Genomic DNA, 21,438 nt, shown 5'->3' on the forward strand with positions numbered 1-21,438 from the left:
TACTTATAGGAATGATGGATCATGCTGACCCATTTAAAACTCTCTTTCTCGGTCTTCTTTGTAATAAGTTGCATGCTTATTTAGATCTGCTGGCTAGGGTTGAGGGTACATTTCTGAGTCAGTGGAATATATAAAAGCCTGCATTCAGCTTTAAGTCCATGATCTTTTTTTTTTTTTTTTTTTTGAGACAGAGTCTTGCTCTGTCACCCAGGCTGGAGTGCAATGCCACGATCTTGGTTTACTGCAATCTCCGCCTCCTGGGTTCAAGCGATTCTCCTGCCGCAGCCTCCCAAGTAGCTGTGATTATAGGTGCCCGCCACCATGCCCAGCTAATTTTTTGTATTTTTAGTAGAGACAGGGTTTCGCCATGTTGGCCGGGCTGGTCTCCTGACCTCTGGTGATCACCTGCCTTGGCCTCCCAAAGTGCTGGGATTACAGGCATGAGCCACCACACCAAGTGCTGGGATTACAAGCATGAGCCACTACACCTGGCCAAAATCCATGATCTTATACCAATGTTTTATCCAACTTAACTACCTGGTTATAATCTTTTAAGCCATTTGAATATGTAGATTTATTCAGATATTCTGTTACAGTGGGTCTAGGAGTGGGACATGAGAACCTATAAATTTAAAAAATAATTGGCCAGGGCTGGGCGCGGTGGCTTATGCCTGTAATCCCAGCACTTTGGGAGGCCGAGGAGGGCGGATCACGAGGTCAGGAGATCGAGACCATCCTGGCTAACATGGTGAAACCCTGTCTCTACTAAAAATACAAAAAATTAGCCAGGCGTGGTGGCGCGCGCCTGTAGTCCCAGCTACTTGGGAGGCTGAGGCAGGAGAATGGCGTGAACCCGGGAGGCGGAGCTTGCAGTGAGCCAAGATCGTGCCAGTGCACTCCAACCTGGGCGACAGAGCGAGACTCCATCTCAAAAAAAAAAAATAATAATAATAATAATAATAATTGGCCAGGCAAGGTGGCTCACGCCTGTAACCCCAGCACTTTGGGAGGTTGAGGTGGGCAGATCACCCGAGGTCAGGAGTTCGAGACCAGCTTGGCCAACATGGTGAAACCCCGTGTCTACTAAAAATACAAAAATTAGCCAGGCGTGATGGCAGGTGCCTGTAATCTCAGCTTCTAGGGAGGCTGAGGCAGGAGAATCACTTGAACCTAGGAGGCAGAGATTGCAGTGAGCTGAGATCACGCCACTGTACTCCAGCCTGGGCAATACAGTCTCAATCTCAAATAGTAATAATAATAATTTTTATTTTTATTCAATGTAATATGTGTATAATTTTTAAAAGTGAATAGTGTACTGTAAAGCATATACTAAGAACAGTCTCTTACCCTTTTCTTCTTCATTCTCAAGTCCTCCTTGGAAACAACTATTTTAATTTTCTTTTCTTTCTTTTTCTCTCTCTTCCTCTCTTTTCTCTTTCTATACATTGGAACCACAATGGCAAAGGAAGCAACTATTTTTAATTCTTTTTGTTTGTTTGTTTGTTTTTTTAAGATGGAGTTTCACTCTTGTTTCCCAGGCTGGAGTGCAATGCCGCGATCTCGCCTCACCACAACCTCTGCCTCCTAGGTTCAAGTGATTCTCCTGCCTCAGCCTCCCGAGTAGCTGGGATTACAGGCATGCACCACTACGCCAGGCTAATTTTGTATTTTTAATAGAGACAGGGTTTCTCCATGTTGGTCAGGCTGGTCTCGACCTCCTGACCTCTGGTGATCCTCCTGTCTTGGCCTCCCAAAGTTCTGGGATTACAGGCATGAGCCACTGTGCCTGGCCTATTTTTAGTTCTTTGTTTCTTCTGGGATTTACCTGTCTCTAAAGAATGTTTCATTTGCTGTTTCTTGTTTTTTAAATTATAGACAGTAACTCTTTGTTTTTTATTCTAGAAGATAAAGATTTAACAATTTTATACAACTCCTGCTACCACTTACTTTCCCCCACTAACTCCCAGTATAATCATACCACAACTTCAGGCAAAATAATGTTTACATTGTTTGAATTATGTATATATTGTTTACAACTGAGCCACTATATACTGTGTTTACATTTTCTTTTCTTTTTTCTTTTTTTTTGAGACGGAGTTTCACTCTAGTTGCCCCGGCTGGAGTGCAATGGCGCAATCTCAGCTCACTGCAACCTCCGCCTCCCGGGTTCAAGCGATTCTCCTGCCTCAGTCTCCTGAGTAGCTGGGATTACAGGCATGCGCCACCATGCCTGGCTAATTTTGTATATTCAGTAGAGACGGGGTTTCTCCATGTTGGTCAGGCTGGTCTCAAACTCCCAACCTCAGGTGATCCGTCTGCCTCGGCCTCCCAAACTGCTGAGATTACAGGCGTGAGCCACCGTGCCTGGCCCGTGTTTACGTTTTCTTTATTGTATAACCTTTTGTTTTTCCTGGAGTTAATAATTTACTATTTTTCATTTGTTTAGTTTTCTATGTACCTATTGTCCTTTATTTTCTGAACTCTGCAGTAGAAACATAAAAACCACTATCAGTATAGTTAAACATCCTGGGTAATCATTTTTTATAAGGCTTTCATCTTGGAACTTTGCATCTGCCTGTTCCAGTCCAGACTGTACGTGCTGTATACCTTCTGTACAGCTGACATTCTGGAGCTCTACCATGATCCTCGTGGTTCCTGATGCTTCTTTTTCATCAGAGCCTCAGTTTTGTGGTTTTCATTTCTTTCTGGGTTTCTTTTCTCATTTTGCTGGTGGACATCCTTTACTAGTCTTTTTATAAAAGATTCATGGTTAGAAAGCAGGATTAGTGAGCTTAAAAAAACAAATAAAAGATTCATGGAAGTTAATTTTTTTCAGATATTTCAGTTAATTTTGTTAACCTGAAATATCTTTATTCCACTCCTCCACTTGATTGTTAGCCTAGTTGGGTACAGAATTACAGGTTAAAGGCCAAGCGTGGTGGGTCATGCCTATAATCCCAATACCTTGGGAGGCCAAGGCAGGTGAATTGCTTAAGACCCAGAGTTTGAGGACAGCCTGGTCAACATAGTAAGACCCTGTCTCTAGAAGAAAAATTAGCCAGGCATGGTGGCCCATGCCTGTAGTCCTAGCTACTTGGGAGGCTAAGGTAGGAGGATCACTTGAGCCCAGGAGTTTGAGGCTGCAATGAACTCTGATTGGATCACTGCACTCCAGCCTGGAAATCAGAGCAAGACACTGTCTCTCTAAAAAAACAAAAAACAAAACGAACAACAAAAAAATTGTTAGAAAATTGTTTTCCCACAGAATTTTGAAGGCATTAGTCTGTTGTCCCTCAGCTTTCACTGTTGTTGTTGTTGTTGTTATTATTATTATTATTATTATTATTATTATTTGAGATGGAGTCTCGCTCTGTCATCCAGGCTGTAGCGCAGTGGCGCAGTCTCGGCTCACTGCAAGCTTCGCCTCCCAGGTTCACGCCATTCTCCTGCCTCAGCCTCCCGAGTAGCTGGGACTACAGGCACCCACCACCATGCCCGGCTGATTTTTGTATTTTTAGTAGAGACGGGGTTTCACCATGTTAGCCAGGATGGTCTCAATCTCGTGACCTTGTGATCCGCCCACCTCGGTCTCCCAAAGTGCTGGGATTACAGGTGTGAACCACTGCGCCCAGCCTTCAGTGTTATTATTGAGAAAGATGATAGCATTCTGATTCCTGAACCTATTTGTATGTGGTTTACTTTATTTTTTTTTATTTTTTATTATTATTTTTTGAGACGGAGTCTCACTCTGTTGCCCAGGCTGGAGTGCAGTGGCATGATCTTGGCTCACTGCAACCTCTGCCTCTGGGTTCAAGCAATACTCCTGCCTCAGTCTCCCAAGTACCTAGAACTATAAGCGTGTGCCACCATGCCTGGCTGATTTTTGTATTTTTTGTAGAGGCAGGGTTTCACCATGTTGGCCAGGCTGGTCTCAAACTCTTATCCTCAAGTGATCCACCCGCCTTGGCCTCCCAAAGTGCTTCTATTACAGGCGTGAGCCACCCTACCTGACCTGTATGTGACTTACTTTATCTTTTTTTTTTTTTTCGTTTTTTTGAGATGGAGTCTCACTCTAATCACCCAGGCTGGAGTGCAGTAGCACAATCTCAGCTCACTGCAACCTCCGCCTCCTGGGTTCAAGTGATTCTCCTGCCTCAGCCTCCCAAGTAGCTGGGATTACAGGCACGTGCCACCACACCCAGCTAATTTTTTGTATTTTTAGTAGAGATGGGGTTTCACTGTGTTAGCCAGGATGGTCTTGATTTCCTGACCTTGTAATCGTCCACCTTGGTCTCCCAAAATGCTAGGATTACAGGCGTGAGCCACTGCAGACTTAAAACTTTATCTTAAAGCTTTTAGACTCTTCTCTTTAGCCAGCATTTTGGGAACTGAGTAAGGGAATACACTTGTTTATATGTAACTTTTCACATAGTATTCTTAATTTTAGTAAGGTGATTTACTTCAGTCTCTCAGTATATACCTTGTGTCTTTGAATATTCTGTTTCAATTAATCAGAAAATGAACATTTTCTCTCCTGCCATGTGAGGGAGGTGCACTTGTTTGGTTGCATGGGAGTTTAGAAGAAAACTATCTTAGGTATTTCTTCTGTATAATTTCAATGAATTGCAACGTTTCCAACACTTCTCCTTATACCCGCTGTCTGAGATAGCTAGTATCTCCAGTTCCTTAGATTCCTGGAGTTCTTTGATGAGAACCAGCTAGATTCTTGATGTCATCCCCCTATTGGACAGTTTGGACTCAGCTTTCTCTGTTCTGGTATGTTAAGGTTGCTACTCCTTCATTCCCTTTCTTGCTTTCAAATATTTGTTAATCTTTTTTGTCTACTATCATTTCTTCCATGTCTTTCTGTTATTTTAATTTCACATTTCAGGAGGTTTCTGAGATAAATACATGTGTGCAGTCTGCTATTTTGAATCAGAAGTCCTGAAAGTCCAACATTATTGCCAGTGCTTTTATTGTTTCTGTGATAGGCACTGTGTTCCAAGGCAGCTCATTTCCTCTTTGGTAAGCACTGTTTTTTAGTGGCTGCTTATCTTGGGTGAAAGTCTTTGTCTCTGTAGGACTATTGATCCTAATTCTACACCTTAGAGTATTCCAAATAAATCTGTTGTCTTCCACTTGGTAACCTTTCATAGACTTAAAGACAGTATTAGAACTTTAGTATTTTTTCTTCTCTAGCGTAGAGATAACCTAGTTTCTCTATTTGATCCTCAGAAAATACTGTTTCAAATTTCTTCACTATCCTGGTCACTCACTTCTGAATTAACTGTTCTTAAAGAATGATACCTGGAATTGAGAGCAATACTCCAGGTAGAATCTAACCAGCACAGACTAGAGTAAATTATTATCATTTTCTTTTGAAATATTGTTGTGATAAAAAAAAATAAACCTAGCACTCCTGGTATGTTCTGCAAAGGGAAGAGTTTCTCAGAATTTTATCTGCTTGAAATTAAAGAAAAAATGTAAAGCTTCTACTACTTCTATATATAGAGAGAGAGACCTGAAACATACAATGATTTTGTTTTGTTTTTAATTAGATCAATTGGTGCTCCTTTTTAAAAATAATCTGGAGTGTAGGTTGAGAATTAAGATGTTCTGCATAATAACGTAACATGAAATTTTAAACTTTAATTTTGAAATATTTTTAGAGTCATGTAGAAGTTGCAAAAATAGTACAGAGTTCAGATGTACTCTTCACCCAGCTTCCCCCAAAGACATCTTATATAACCATAGTATAATTATCAAAATCAGAAAACTGACATTGGTACAATACTATTTATTAACTAAACTACTGACCTTATTTGGATTTCACCAGGTTTTTGTTTGTTTGTTTGTTTTTTGAGATGGAGCCTCGCTCTGTTACCAGGCTGGAGTGCAGTGGTGTGGTCTTAGCTCACTGCACCCTCGCCTCCTGGGAACAAGCGATTCTCCTTCCTCAGCCATCTGAGCAGCTGGGATCACAGGCATGCATCACTACTCCTGGCTATGGCTAATTTTTGTATTTTTTTCTTTTAGTAGAGACGGGGTTTCACCATGTTGGTCAGGCTGATCTTGAACTCCCAGCCTCAAGTGATTCACCTGCCTCAGCCTCACAAGATTTCACAGTTATTATATACAATCCTTAAAAAAAAATGTTTGGGGGATGTATGTAGTTCTACAGGATTTTATCACATGTATAAATTCATATGACCATTATCACATTTGGGATATAGAACTCCCAAAGAAACTCCCATGTGCTAGCCGTTTACAGTCACACCCCAATCCTAACCCCTGGCAACCACTGATCTGTTTTCCATTACCATACTTTTGTTACTTTGAGACTGTTATGTAAGTGGAATCATCTAGTATGTGACCTTTTGAAACCCAGTAGTTTTTCAACAGTTACCTCACCGCACCCCCACAGAAGTCTTTAGTTTCTATTGTTGCCGTTTTTATGTCCATGAGTACCCCATGTTTAGCTCCCACTTATAAGTGAGAACATGTGGTATTTGGCTTTCTGTTCTTGCATTAATTCACTTAGGATAAAGGCCTCCAGTTGCACCCGTGTTGCTGCAAAGGACATGATTTTGTTCTTTTTTTATGGCTGGATAGTATTCTGTGGTGTATATGCACCACATTTTCTTTATCCAGACCACATCTGATGGGCATCTAGGTTGATTCCACATCTTTGCTATTGTGAATAGTGCTGCAGTGAACATGCGAGTGCATATGTCTTTTTGATAGAATTACTTGTTTTCTTTTGGGTATATACCCAGTATGGGTAATCGGATTCCTGGGTCAAATGGTAGTTCTGTTTTAAGTTCTTTGAGAAATCTTCAAACTGCTTTCCATAGTGGCTAAGCTAATTTGCATTCTCACCAACAGTGTATAAGTGTTCCCTTTTCTCCACAGCCTTTCCGACATCTGTTGTTTTTTGACTTTATAATAATAGCCATTCTGACATCTGACTGATGTGAGATGGCATCTCATTGTGATTTTGATTTGCATTTCTCTGATGATTAGTGATGTGGAGCATTTTTTCGTGTTCATTGGCCAGATGTATGTCTTCTTTTGCGAAGTGTCTGTGCATGTCTTTCGCCCATTTGGAAGTGTTTTGTGGTTCTTGTAGAGATATTTCCCCTCTTTGCTTAGATGTAGGGTTTTTTGTTTGTTTGTTTATTTGTTTTATTTTTATTTTTTGGTGGGGTGTGGGGTATGGCTATTGTAAATGGGATTGCATTGTTGACTTGTTTGCCCACTTTTTAATTGGACTGCTTACTTATTTACAGTTGAGGTTAGGGATTTCCTTATTGATTCTAGATATAAATTATTTCTCAAATATATGTGATTTGCAAATATTTTCTCCCAATCTGTGGCTTCTTTTCTCATTTTCTTAATATCTTTCACAGAGGAAAAGTTTTAATTATGATGAAGTCTAATTTATTAATTTTTTCCTTTATGGGTTGTACTTTTGGTGTCATATCTAAGAACATTTTCCCTAAATTTAGGTCACACAGAGTTTCTCTTGTTTTTTCCCTAAGAGTCTTATAGTTCAACATCTGATAAAATTATGCATTTGAAGTTTGTTAATTTTGGTATAAATTGTGAGGTTTAGGTCAAGGTCCATTTTGTCTCCTACAGGAGACCAGTTGTCCCATCACCACTTGTTAAAACGACTATCCTTGCTTCATTAAATTGCTTTTATGCCTTTGTCAAAAATTGGTTGTCTGTACAAGTGTGAGTTTATTTTTTTGCTCTTTTTTGTTCTATTGATCTGTGTGTCTGTCTCCCAATACGACCGTTTAACTGTTGTGCCTCTATAGTAAGTCTTTAAAAAGCTAATGTGATTACCCTTATTTTATTCTTTTTTTCAAAATTCTTTTAGCTATTCTAGTTCCTTTGCCTTTCCATATAAATTTTAGAATCAGCTTGTTCATGTATAAAAATCTGTTAGGATTTTTATAGGAATTGCATTAAACCAACTGCAGATCAATTTCGAGAGAATTGATGTCTTTACTCTCTAAAGCCTCCGAATCCATGAGAATGCCACATCTCTCCAGTTATTTAGGTCATTAAAACCTTTTTTTGGCCTGGTGCAGTGACTCATGCCTATAATCCCAGCACTTTGAGAGACTGAGGTGGGAGGATCACTTGAGCACAGGAGTTCGAGACCAGCCTCAGCAACATAGTGAGACCTCATCTCTACAAAAAATAGAAAAATTCGCCAACCATGGTGGCACGTGCCTGTAGTCCCAGCTACTGGGGAGGCTAAGGCGAGGTGATTGATTGAGTCTGGGAGGTCAAGGGTATAGTAAGCCACAATCATTTGTGCCACTGCACTTCAGCCTCGGTGACAGAGCAAGACCCTGTCTCAAATAAAGTAAAATAAAATTCATCAGTGTTTTGTAGTTTTTGGCACACAGATCCTGTGCATGTTTTGTTATATTTCTACCCGAATTTTAATTTTTTTTTAGTGTTATTGTAAATGTTCTGGGAAATTTTATTACCTGTCATATTGTTGGGCCTTCCCACTGTAGCTTTATATTTTATTAAAACATATATTTTTGACTGAGTTCAGTGGCTCGCACCTGTAATCCCAGCATTTAGGAGGTTGAGGTAGGAGGATTGCTTGAGCCCAGGAGTTCAAGACTAGCTCAGGCAATATAGTGAGACCTCTATCTCTACAAAAAATTTTTAAAAATTAGGCAATATAGTGAGACCTCTATCTCTACAAAAAATTTTAAAAAATTAGCCGTGCATGGTGGTGCATGCCTGCAGTCCCAGCTACTCAGGAGGCTGAGGCAGGAGGATTGCTTGAGCCCAGGATTTTGAGGCTGCAGTGAGCTATGATCATGCCACTGCACTCCAGCCTGGGTGACAGAACAAGACCCCGTCTCAAACAAAAAAACAAAACAAAAACAAATGGGGCGCTCGCTTCAGCAGCACATATACTAAAAATGATAGAGAAGATTAGTATGGTCCCTGCACAAGGATCACACTCAAATGTTACATATTATAATTTAAAAAAAATGGGGAAACTGAGACTTAGAACAGTCAAGTAATTAATTGCCTAAGGTTACAAAATTGGTAAACAGTAGAGCTAGGATTCAAACCCAGGTGTGGCTTTAGAATCTCTAACATGATGCTAACCACTATACAATGCTGCCCAGAGCAAAACCATCCTGATATACTCTAACAGCAACTGTTTTTTAAGTTTTGGGTATATATTGTTGCTCAAAAGTGACAAGACTACTAACTTTATCTTTTGTGTTACCCAGATTAAAATTCTTTCAGGAAAAAATGAACTATATATAATATTAAGATTAATGTATTTCATCATCTGCCTTCTTCTTATCTAAATCAAAGAATTCCCAGGGGGCCTGGCATGGTGGCTCACACCTGCACTTTGGGAGGCCAAGGTATGAGGATTTAATGAGCCCAGGAGTTCAAGACCAGCCTGGGCGACAGAGTAAGATCCTGTCTTTACAAAAAAAAAATTTTTTTTTTCTTGAGACGGAGTCTTGCTCTGTCGCCCAGGCTGGGAGTGCAGTGGTGCAATCTTGGCTCACTGCAACCTCTGCCGCCCAGGTTCAAGCGATTCTTTTGCCTCAGCCTCCTGAGTAGCTGGGATTACAGGCACATGCCACCACACCCAGCTAGTTTTTGTATTTTTAGTAGAGACGGGGTTTCACCATATTGGTCAGGCTGGTCTCGAGCTCCTGACCTTGTGATCTGCCTGCCTCGGCCTCCTAAAGTGCCAGGATTATTGGCCGGGCGCGGTGGCTCACGCCTGTAATCCCAGCACTTTGGGAGGCCGAGACGGGCGGATCACGAGGTCAGGAGATCGAGACCATCCTGGCTAACACGGTGAAACCCCGTCTCTACTAAAAATACAAAAATTAGCCGGGCATGGTGGCGCGCGCCTGTAGTCCCAGCTACACGGGAGGCTGAGGCAGGAGAATGGCGTGAACCCGGGAGGCGGAGCTTGCAGTGAGCCGAGATCCCGCCACTGCACTCCAGCCTGGGCGACAGAGCGAAACTCCGTCTCAAAAAAAAAAAAAAAAAAAAGTGCCAGGATTACAAGGCGTGAGCCACCGTGCCCAGCCACAAAAAATTTAAGATCAACTGGGTTTGTTGGCGCATGCCTGTAGTCTTAGCTACTCCAGAGGCTGAGATGGGAGGATCACTTGAGCCCAGGAGCCCAGGAGTTGGAGGTTACAGTGGGCCATGATGGTCCCACTGCACTCCAGCCTGGCTAACAGAGTAAAACCCTGTCTCTTAAAAAAATTAAAAAAAAAAAAAAAAAAAAAAGAATTCCCAGGATATACAACTGTCAGAGAATGAGAATAACACACACACATACACACACACACACACACACACACACACTAAATCTCTCATTATCCTTAATAGTTACAAATTGATTTCATTTTTATTTAAGATTACTCAGAAAAATTTATTGGACTTTTAATTTATGTTAAGAAATTGTTTTAAAAGGCCATCAGAAATTCTATTAAAATCATGAGGCTTTTTTTTTTTTTTTTAAGACAGAGTCTCACACAGTCACCTAGACTAGAGTGCAGTGGTGCAATCTCTGCTCACTGCAACCTCTGCCTCCCAGGTACAAGTGATTCTCCTGCCTCAGCCTCCTGAGTAGCTGGGATTACAGGTGCCCACCACCACTCCCGGCCATTTTTTGTATTTTTAGTAGAGACAGGGTTTCACCGTGTCAGCCAGGATGGTCTCGATCTCCTGACCTCAGGTGATCCACCCGCCTCGGCCTCCTGGAATGTTGGGATTACAGGCATGAGCCACCACAACCAGCCCATGAGGTTTTTATAAATTATATGTGCTACGCATTTGCTAATTTAGACAATGTAGTGTGCTGTTTATAAAAGTTGGCAGCATTTGAGAAGTTAATCTTGACTCTGTCTCATGTCCAGCCAGGGCTGTTAGACTGTCCCAGAGAAGGTGATGATCACTGACAATAACGTGTTGATAAATCTTTGAAGCCTTTCAATTAAGAAAGTCCTCTGGAATGTAAACATAGATGTTATACCTGTCACAAAAACTAACTTAAAATAGATCATACACATAAATGTAAAATGCATAACTTATAAGACTTCTAGAAGATAACATAGGAGAAATCTAGTGACCTTGAGTTTGGCCATGAGTTTTAGATACAACTCAAATAGCATGGAGGAAAAACATTGATAAAATTGACTTTAAACTTGTGTTCTGGGAAAGACACAGTAAAGGGAGTTAAAAGGTAAGTCACAAACTGGGAAAAAATCTTTGCAAAACACATATCTGATAAAGGACTTGTACCCAAAATATACAAAAAACACTTACAATTCAACAATAAGAAAGTGAACAACCCAATTAAAAAGGGAGCAAAAGATCTGAACAGACACCTCAATAAAGAAAATGTAGAGACAGCAAATAAACACTAAAAAGACGCTCATCATTTGTCTTTAGGGAATTGCAGGTTAAAACAATGAGATACCATTAAAGTCTGTTAGAATGGCTAAATTTAAAAACTGAAAAACTGGTGAGGATGAAAAACAAAAGAAACTCTCATCTTTGCTGGTGGAAATGCAAAATGATATAGCCACTTTGGAAAAGAGTTTGGCAGTGGCTTACAAGAAAGATAAACATATTCTTACCATATGATCTAGCAATTAATCGCATTTCTAGGTGCAATAGACATACCCAGTTGAGTTGTAAACTTACGTCCACACAGAAACCTGCAAAGGAATGTTTACAGCAGCTTTATTCATAACTGCCCCCAAACTGGATGCAACAGATTGTCCCTTGATAGGCGAATGGATAACCAAACTATTGTGATACATTCATACAATGGAATGTTATTAAGCGATCAAAAGAAAGGAGATATTAAACCAGGAAAAGACATGGAGAAAATATAGATGCATATTATTAAGTAATTGAAAAACCTATATACTGTAACAATTCCAATTATATAACATTCTGGAGGAGGAAAATTATGGTGGCAGTAAAAAGATCAGTGGTTGTCGGGTTGTGGACAGTAGTGAGGGAGGGATGAATAGGTGAAGCAGAGTGGTATTTTAGGTGGTGAAACTATTCTGTACGCACTGTAATGGTGGGTACATGACATTATGCATTTGTTAAAGTCTGTAGAACTTTACAGCACAAAAAGTTAACCTCAGTGTGTACAAATTTAACAATAGCTTTCACAGGTAGGCATGGTGGCTTCTGCCTGTAATCCCAGCTACTTGGGAGGCTGAGGTAAGAAGATCACTGGAGGCCAAGAGTTCAAGTCCAGCTTGGGACTTGAGTTCAAGTCCAGCAACATGGCAAGACCTTGTCTCTAAAAAAAAAAATTTTTTTAAGGAAAAAATAATATAATTCAGGAGGCCACGGGATTTGGGAAAGAAAGCAGACTGTGACAAGAGCATCTAACTGTATTACAAATATATGAAACAACCTCACCGAAGGGATGGGGAGAAAAGTGCTACCCTAACTTTGAAAATGACTGGAGTCTGTAAAACTAAAGGCCAAAGGAACTGTACAAGAGTACTTACTCAAGTTGATAAAGTTTTTCTGCATGGGTTTATAGGTTAATAAATGCATTGTTGCTATACTTGTATACTAACATTGAACAATAAGAAAATAGATAGCAGATAGTGGGAGCCAGGTTTCTCACTGTTGGAGTGGAAATTTTATGTACACTAACATTGACCAAGAAGAAAATAGATAGCAGATAGTGGGAGCCAGGTTTTTCACTGTTGGAGTGAAAATTTTACAAATCAACAAGGGAGGAAGCTAGAATGACCCATGTGGTAATGGATTAACGTTGAGGATACTAGAACAGCTCATATATAGTTAGATAGTTGCTTGTGGAAATTTTTATAGATGGGTATGTGCACAAGTTAGTATACATACTATAAAGTTTAGAAGTTTACAACACCACCACCACTTCTGACTCCAATTGTAAGTTTAGGGGTCCCCAAGATCACCCTCATGTTGAATAATTCCCTAGAGGTACTCACAGAACTCACTGAAAGCTGCTATATTTACAGTTATGGTTTATTACAATAAAAGGATACATATTAAAACCAGCCAAGGGAAGAAGCACATGGGACAGAGTACAGGAGAATTCCTCATGTGAAGCTTCCAGTTTCTTCTCCTGCTGGACTAATGGACAGTGGTAACTTCCCCCAGCAACAATCTGTGACGACACGCTAGAAGTATTGCCAACCAGGTAAGATCACTCAAGCCTTGGTGTCCAGAGTTTTTGTTGGGGCTTGGTCATATAGACATGATTGACTACTCACATGGCTGTTTTTTGTTACAGATACCACATGGCTCAAAACCTCCACCATTAATTACATTGTTAGCATAGGCTATCTGGCATGGCCTAAAGCTCCCAGGTTAACAAGGACCTACTTTTCAGTCAGGCATTACAGAGGCTTAGAGAATACCTCCCTGGAGCCAAGGGCAAAAGCCAGACCAATTCAGTAGTAACAAGTATACCTAATGCTCAGATCTTGGTTTCTAATATTATTCTTCAGTAAGAGTAACCAGGACTCCTTGGAGAAATGGCTGATTCCAGGGATAGGGTAGAAAATGTACAGAACCAGCCTGGGGCATCTTGTAGAGGCAGAAAGTAAGAAAGTGCTAAAGAAAAAAAAAAGATCACTGTGAGAGGTATGTAAAAGAAGCCAAATGAAAGAGCACCCAATGGGAAAATTTAGAAATATTTGAGCAAAATAAATGAATGAATACCATACTATTGTATTATAACCTAAAGTATAACATAAATATTCATGATTGTGGTGGGTTGCAGCTGATCTGGGCCAGCGTCATCAGTGGTAAAATAATTTGCTGAAACAGCTGTGAGTTAATAATTGTAATAATAAGTAAGTGTATTAGAGAGAAAGTATGTTGCAAGGAAGCATTGGGCAGCACAGCAGAGAAAAAGCTGTCTGCAAAGGGGCAGGGCTGGAGGGAAGTTTTATAGGCTGGACCTGGAGGGACTACATGTAGAACAAGGTATTCGGGAACAGGATATTGTGCAAACGGGATGTTTGTAGTTAGCTGTTTCTCAGAACAATTGTTCTCACTCACCCTGGGGCACCCCCCTTGTTGTTGCTAACTTATCAGGACTCCACAATGAGTTCATACTGATATATAAATAATTGGATAAATTAATAAATGGAAGTGAATAGACAAATCTTTCCATATGGAATAATGCTAATTATATTATCTAGATACTTCATCCTGAGGATGGGAGGTTAATTCTCCACTCCTTAAGTGTGGGCTGTGCATAGTGACTTCCTTCCAGAGTCCCTTATGAAAAGTGGAGAGTGGGAGGAAAGGAATAACTTCATGGGAGAGACGTGACAAACACACCTTCAAGCCAAGTGATTATGGTCAATATAAACAGTCATAAATCATGTTGATATCATATATACCCTCAATATGCTATGATGAAAAATGGCACTTTATCTCTGTGATCTTTGTCACAAAAGTCTGTAACACCAATCTAACCATGAGAAAAACAAATACTTTTTTTTTTTTTTTTTGAGGCGGAGTCTTGCTCTGTCTCCCAGACTGGAGTGCAGTGCAGTGGTGCAATCTTGACTCACTGCAGCCTCCACCTCCCAGGTTCAAGCAATTCTCCTGCCTCAGCCTCCCGAGTAGCTGGGATTACAGGTGCACACCACCGTGACCAGCTAATTTTTGTGGGTTTTTTTGTTTGTTTTTCATTTCGAGACAGAGTCTTACTCTGTTGCCCAGGCTGGAGTGCAGTGGCATGACCTCGGCTCACTGCAACCTCTGCCTCTTGGGTTCAAGCGATTCTCCTGCCTCAGCCTCCTGAGTAGCTAGGACTACAGGTGTGCACCACCACGCCTGGCTAATTTTTGTATTTTTTAGTAAAGATGGGATTTCACCATATTGCCCAGGCTGGTCTTGAACTCCTGACCTCGTGATCCGCCCTCCTTGGCCTCCCAAAGTGCTGAGATTATAGGCATGAGCTGCTGTGCCTGGCCAATTTTTGTATTTTTAATAGAAACGGGGTTTCCCTGTGTTGGGTAGGCTGGTCTCAAACTCCTGACCTTAAGTGATCCACCCACCTTGGCCTCCCAAAGTACTGGGACTACAGGCATGGGAGCCACAGTGCCCAGCCTGAGAAAAACAAATTCTAATAGAGGGCCATCCTGTAGTATACCTGACCAGAACTCTTTAAACTGTCAAGATCCTCAAAAAGAGAAAGTCTGAGAAACAATCACAGCTAAGAGACACCTAAGGAGACGCGACAAGTAAACGTAATATAGTGGCATCCTGAATGGGATCCTGGAACAGAAAAAGGACATTAAGTAAAAACTAAGGAAATCAAACTATGGACCAGTTAATAATAACTTTTCAGTATTCATTCATTAACTGTAATAAGTGAGCCATACTAACATAAGCTGTTAATAATAGGGGAAAATGGAAAATGTGTGTGTATGTTGGGGGGTATATGAAAATGCTACACTATCTACTCAATTTGTAAATCAAAAACTGTTGGCTGGGCGCAGTGGCTCATGCCTGTAATCCCAGCACTTCGGGAGGCCAAGGCGGGTGGATCACTTGAGGTCAAGAGTTTGAGAACAGCCTGATCAACATGGTGAAACCTTGTCTCTACTAAAAATACAAAATTAGCCAGGTGTGGTGGTGCACACCTGTAATCCCAGCACTTTGGGAGGCCAAGGCGGGTGGATCACTTGAGGTCAAGAGTTTGAGAACAGCCTGATCAACATGGTGAAACCTTGTCTCTACTAAAAATACAAAATTAGCCAGGTGTGGTGGTGCACACCTGTAATCCCAGCTACTCGGGAGGATGAGGCAGAAGAATCTCTTGAACCTGGGAGGTGGAGGTTGCAGTGAGCCAAGATCGTGCCATTGCACTCCAGCCTGGGCAACAAGAGCAACATCTCTGTCTCAAAAAAAAAAGTTTAGAATGTTTTGATTTTAAAAAGAATTATAATTTTAAAAAGTGTAGAACAGGCCGGGCGCTGGGTGGCTCATGCCTGTAATCCTAGCACTTTGGGATACCGAGGCAGGCAGATCACGAGGTCAGGAGATCTAGACCATCCTGGCTACATGGCGAAACCTTGTCTCTACTAAAAATACAAAAAAAATTAGTCGGGCATGGTGGCGGCGCCTGTAGTCCCAGGCTGGAGAATGGAGTGAACCTGGGAGGCAGAGAACCTGGGAGGCGTGAACCTGGGAGGCAGGAGAATGGCATGAACCTGAGAGGCGGAGTTTTCAGTGAGCCGTGATTGCACCACGGCACTCCAGCCTGGGCGACAGAGTGAGACTCCCTCTCAAAAAAAAAAAAAAATGAATTAAATAAAAATTAAAATAAAAAACTAGCTGGGCGTGGTGGTGCACATCTGTAGTCCCAGCTATACTTGGAAGGCTGAGGCAGGAGAATTGCTTGAACCCGGGAGGTAGAGGTTGCAGTGAGCGGAGATCGCGCCACTTAGCCTGGGTGACAGAGCAAGATCCTGTCTAAAAAAAATAAAAATAAAACTGTAGAACAAGGCCGGGCACAGTGGCTCACACCTGTAATCCTAGCACTTTGGGAGGCCGAGGCAAGCGGATTGCTTGCGCCCAGGAATTTGAGACAAGCCTGGGCAACATGGTGAAACCCTGTGTCTAAAATATATATGTATGCAAAAATTAGCTGGGCATGGTGGTGTGTGCCCAGAGTCACAACTGCTCAGGAGGCTGAGATGGGAGGATCAACTGAGCCCTGGAGGTTGAGGGTGCACTGAGCCATGACCATGCCAATGCACTCCAGCCTGGGCACAGAGCTAGACCCTGTCTCAAAACAAAACAAAACAAAACATTGTGAAACAATGAAGATTGTAGGGGAAATGGCATATGAAAAAGTGATTTATTATAAATGGGATCCCCTAAGCATACAATGTAAACAAATATCTGACCTTCAAAGGAGGGTGCAGAGTATGCTTTGCAAGTCTTTAGGCAGAGCATTATAGTTTTGTCACATACCTTTCTATACGTCATATGGAGTTAAATACAGAGATACATTATTTTGGGAATTAAATTCTTAAGAATTATAGTACTATTTTTTGAGAAATGTATTTCAACTGTCATTTTACTGAAGGACTGTAGGTCCTGGGATATTAGAGAATTTCACTTATTACAAAGATTAAAAGCAAACATGATTAATATTTACAAATATATTGAATTATTATCTGAATTTATTGTGAAGATTTTCTAATATGATGAGTTGATTTTAAAAGTTACCAATGTTTCTGGTATAAAAAAAATTATAACTAATTGTAATTTATATTTCAAATGGGTATGAAAGTGAATAATAAGGGTAACAATAAAAGGAAGAAAATAAAATTATAATAAAAATGAGAACATAATGCTTACAGATTAAAAAGTGATATAAAGGGATAACTTTTCAGAAGAGATTAAAAACTATCTAGAATAATATAATATACATTGTATGACTGCTGGATTTTATGAGTACATCCTCCAGCCTCTTATTGAGTTTGTAAAGAAATAGTGACTGTTTCCCTCATTAATGGCAAGTGTAAATAGCCGAGGTGGGCATTCAAAGACAGTTTACCATCTCCCCACATGGGGCTTTTGAAGGTTGTCACTAAACTAATTATTTCCATGAAAATGTGTTAATGGAATTTATTTCACTGTTGAGTCTTCTACTTAGAGTCTTTTATAGAGGCAACATATTTTATAAAACTGCATGGAAAAAGATATCAGCAATCAATCTTTAGAGTAGTAGACTTTTGCAAAAACATGATTTCTCTTGTATTTGTACCCTAATAAGAAATCTAGCAGTCTTCTAGCAAAGAACATCACAACATCTTACAGAAAATTTGGTTTGAACTAAGAGACTAAAGAGACATAGAGACCAAATTTTTAAAGTTAAAATATTTCTATCAATAACCTTTTATTCAAGCATTATTGAGTGTTGTTTTCATTAGATAATGGCACTGGCTTCTCATATATATTGCATATAGTATTGCAGTCTGGGAATGGCATAGTCACTTTCCTCCATTATGGTAAGCTTTGCCTGTGTCTGAATGCCCAGCCTTAACAGTGTTGCTAATCACTTATGCGAAATGTGTGACCAAGTCTACATTTGCTGGAAATTTCTGACATTGTAAATATTTGGGTATATTGTTGTAATCATCATTAATTAGTATTTTCAGGAAGGAACCAGGGGTAACATATAGCAACCTAGCAAGTGGATTTACTTTTACAGATTCATTCCTCTACAGTTCTGTTCATGGGTCATGGTTGGTTTTTTTTTTTTTTCAGTTTCTTTTATTGTGGTAAAATACACATAACGAAATGTTCTGTCTTACCCATTTTTAAGTATACAATTTATTGGTATTAAGTATATTAATATTATTGTACAACTATCACCACCATCCATCTCCAGAACTCTTTTCATTTTGCAAAATTGAAACTTTCTATCCATTAAACAGTAACTTCTCATTCCTTCCTCCTCTTAGCCCCTGGCAACCATCATTCTGCTTTTTGACTATGATTTGGACTACAATGAATAACTAATTTAAGTGGAATCATACAGTATTTATCTTTTTGTGACCAATTTATTTCAGTTAACATGATGTCCTCATCAAGGTTCACTCATATTGCAGCATATATTAGAATTTATTTATTTTTGTTTGTTTGTTTTTGAGACAGAGTCTCGCTCTGTCGCTAGGCTGGAGTGCAGTGGCGCGATCTTGGCTCACTGCAACCTCCTCCTCCCACGTTCAAGAGATTCTGCTGCCTCAGCCTCCCAAGTAGCTGGGACTACAGGCGTGCGCCATCACACCCAGCTAATTTTTGTATTTTTAGTAGAGATGGAGTGTCACCATGTTGGCCAGCCTGGTCTCGAACTCCTGACCTCAGGTGATCTGCCGAACTCGGCCTCCCAAAATGTTGGTATTATACGCATGAGCCACCGTGCCCAGCCAAAATTTATTTCCTTTTTAAGGCTGAATAATATTCTGTTGTATATATGTACCACATTTTGCTTATCCATTCATCAGTCAGTTGATACCTGGGTTGCTTCCATGTTTTAGCTACTGTGAATAATGCTGCTATGATTACAAATGTTATGATTATAAATGTATAAGTATCTCTTTGGGACCCAATTCTTTTGAGTATATACCCATAGAATTGCTGGGTCATTTGGTAATTCTATTTTAAACTCTTTGAGGAAACCGTTTTCCACAGTGGTTGTACTATTTTACATTTTCTTTCTTTTTTATTATTATTATACTTTAAATTCTAGGGTACATGTGCACAACATGCAGGTTTGTTACATATGTATATGTGTGCCATGTTGGTGTGCTGCACCCATTAACTCGTCATTTAGCATTAGGTATATCTCCTAATGCTATCCCTCCCCGTTTCCCCCATCCTATGACAGACTCTGGTGTATGATGGTCCCCACCCTGTGTTCAAGTATTCTCATTGTTCAATTCCCATGTATGAGTGAGAACATGTGGTGTTTGGTTTTCTGTCCTTGCAATAGTTTGCTCAGAATGATGGTTTCCAGCTTCATCCATGTCTCTACAAAGGACATGAATGCATCCTTTTTTATGGCTGCATAGTATTCCATGGTGTATATGTGCCACGTTTTCTTAATCCAGTCTACCATTGATGGGCATTTGGGTTGGTTCCAAGTCTTTGCTATTGTGAATAGTGCCACAATAAACATACGTGTGCATGTGTCTTTATAGCAGCATGATTTATAATCCTTTGGGTATATGCCCAGTAATGGAATTGCTGGGTCAGATGGTATTTCTAGTTCTAGATCCTTGAGGAATCATCACAATGTCTTCCACAATGGTTGAACTAGTTTACCTCCCACCAACAGTGTAAAAGTGTTCCTATTTCTCCACATCCTCTCCAGCACCTGTTGTTTCCTGACTTTTTAATGATTGCCATTCTAACTGGTGTGAGATGGTATCTCATTGTGGTTTTGATTTGCATTTCTCTGATGACCAGTGATGTTGAGCATTTTTTCATGTGTCTTTTGGCTGCATAAATGTCTTTTTTTGAGAAGTGTCTGTTCATATCCTTTGCCCACTTTTTGATGGGGTTGTTTGATTTTTTCTTGTAAATTTATTTAAGTTCTTTGTAGATTCTGGATATTAGCCCTTTGTCAGGTGGGTAGATTGTAAAAATTTTCTCCCATTCTGTAGGTTGCCTGTTCACTCAGATGGTAGTTTCTTTTGCTGTGCAGAAGCTCTTTAGTTTAATTAGATCCCATTTTTCAATTTTGGCTTTTGTTGCCATTGCTTTTGGTGTTTTAGTCATGAAGTCCTTGCCCATGCCTATGGCCTGAATGGTATTGCCTAGATTTTCTTCTAGGCTTTTTATGATTTTAGGTCTAACATTTAAGTCTTTAATCCATCTTGAATTCATTTTTGTATAAGGTGTAAGGAAGGGATCCAGTTTCAGCTTTCTACATATGGCTAGCCAGTTTTCCCAGCACCATTTATTAAATAGGGAATCCTTTCCCCATTTCTTGTTTTTGTCAGATTTGTCAGTGATCAGATGGTTATAGATGTGTGGTATTATTTCTGAGGGCTCTATTCTGTTCCATTGGTCTGTATCTCTGTTTTGGTACCAGTACCATGCTGTTTTGGTTACTGTAGCCTTGTAGTATAGTTTGAAGTCAGGTAGCATGATGCCTCCAGCTTTGTTCTTTTGGCTTAGGATTGTCTTGGCAATGCAGGCTCTTTTTTGATTCCATATGAACTTGAAAGTAGTTTTTTCCAATACTGTGAAGAAAGTCATTGGTAGTTTAATGGGGATGGCATTGAATCTATAAATTACCTTGGGCTATATGGCCATTTTCACAATATTGATTCTTCCTGTCCATGAGCATGGAATGTTCTTCCATTTGTTTGTGTCCTCTCTTATTTCATTGAGCAGTGGTTTGTAGTTCTCCTTGAAGAGGTCCTTCACATCCCTTGTAATTGGATTTCCAGGTTTTTTATTCTCTTTGAAGCAATCGTGAATGGGAGTTCACTCATGATTTGGCTCTCTGTTTGTCTGTTATTGGTGTATAGGAATGCTTGTTGTGATTTTTGCACATTGATTTTGTATCCTGAGACTTTGCTGAAGTTGCATATCAGCTTAAGGAGATTTGGGGCTGAGACGGTGGGGTTTTCTAAATATACAATCATGTCATCTGCAAACAGGGACAATTTGACTTCCTCTTTTCCTAATTGAATACGCTTTATTTCCTTCTCCTGCCTGATTACCCTGGCCAGAACTTCTAACACTATGTTGAATAGGAGTGGTGAGAGAGGGCATCCCTGTCTTGTGCCGGCTTTCAAAGGGAATTCCTCCAGTTTTTGCCCATTAGTATGATATTGGCTGTGGGTT

General features: G+C 40.2%; 1 protein-coding gene and 1 pseudogene across 4 annotated transcripts in view; both read left to right on the plus strand.

The window, feature by feature from the left end:
• The window catches only part of PPM1E (protein phosphatase, Mg2+/Mn2+ dependent 1E), a 229,326-nt gene that overhangs the window by 71,118 nt on the left and 136,770 nt on the right, over nt 1-21,438 (plus strand). The window contains exon 1 of one of the 4 annotated variants that reach the window (XM_047435630.1): nt 12,330-13,243. The exons of 2 other annotated variants lie outside the window; for them this stretch is intronic. The gene's annotated coding sequence lies outside the window, so the exon portion shown is untranslated. Of the gene's footprint in view, nt 1-12,329; nt 13,244-21,438 lie in introns of those variants that run through there. One more of the 4 variants, XM_024450657.2, reaches the window with a different exon arrangement.
• Nucleotides 8,928-9,023, plus strand: RNU6-518P (RNA, U6 small nuclear 518, pseudogene; annotated as a pseudogene).

The sequence above is a fragment of the Homo sapiens genome, chromosome 17 (assembly GCF_000001405.40).
Source record: "Homo sapiens chromosome 17, GRCh38.p14 Primary Assembly".
Classification (NCBI taxonomy): domain Eukaryota; kingdom Metazoa; phylum Chordata; class Mammalia; order Primates; family Hominidae; genus Homo; species Homo sapiens.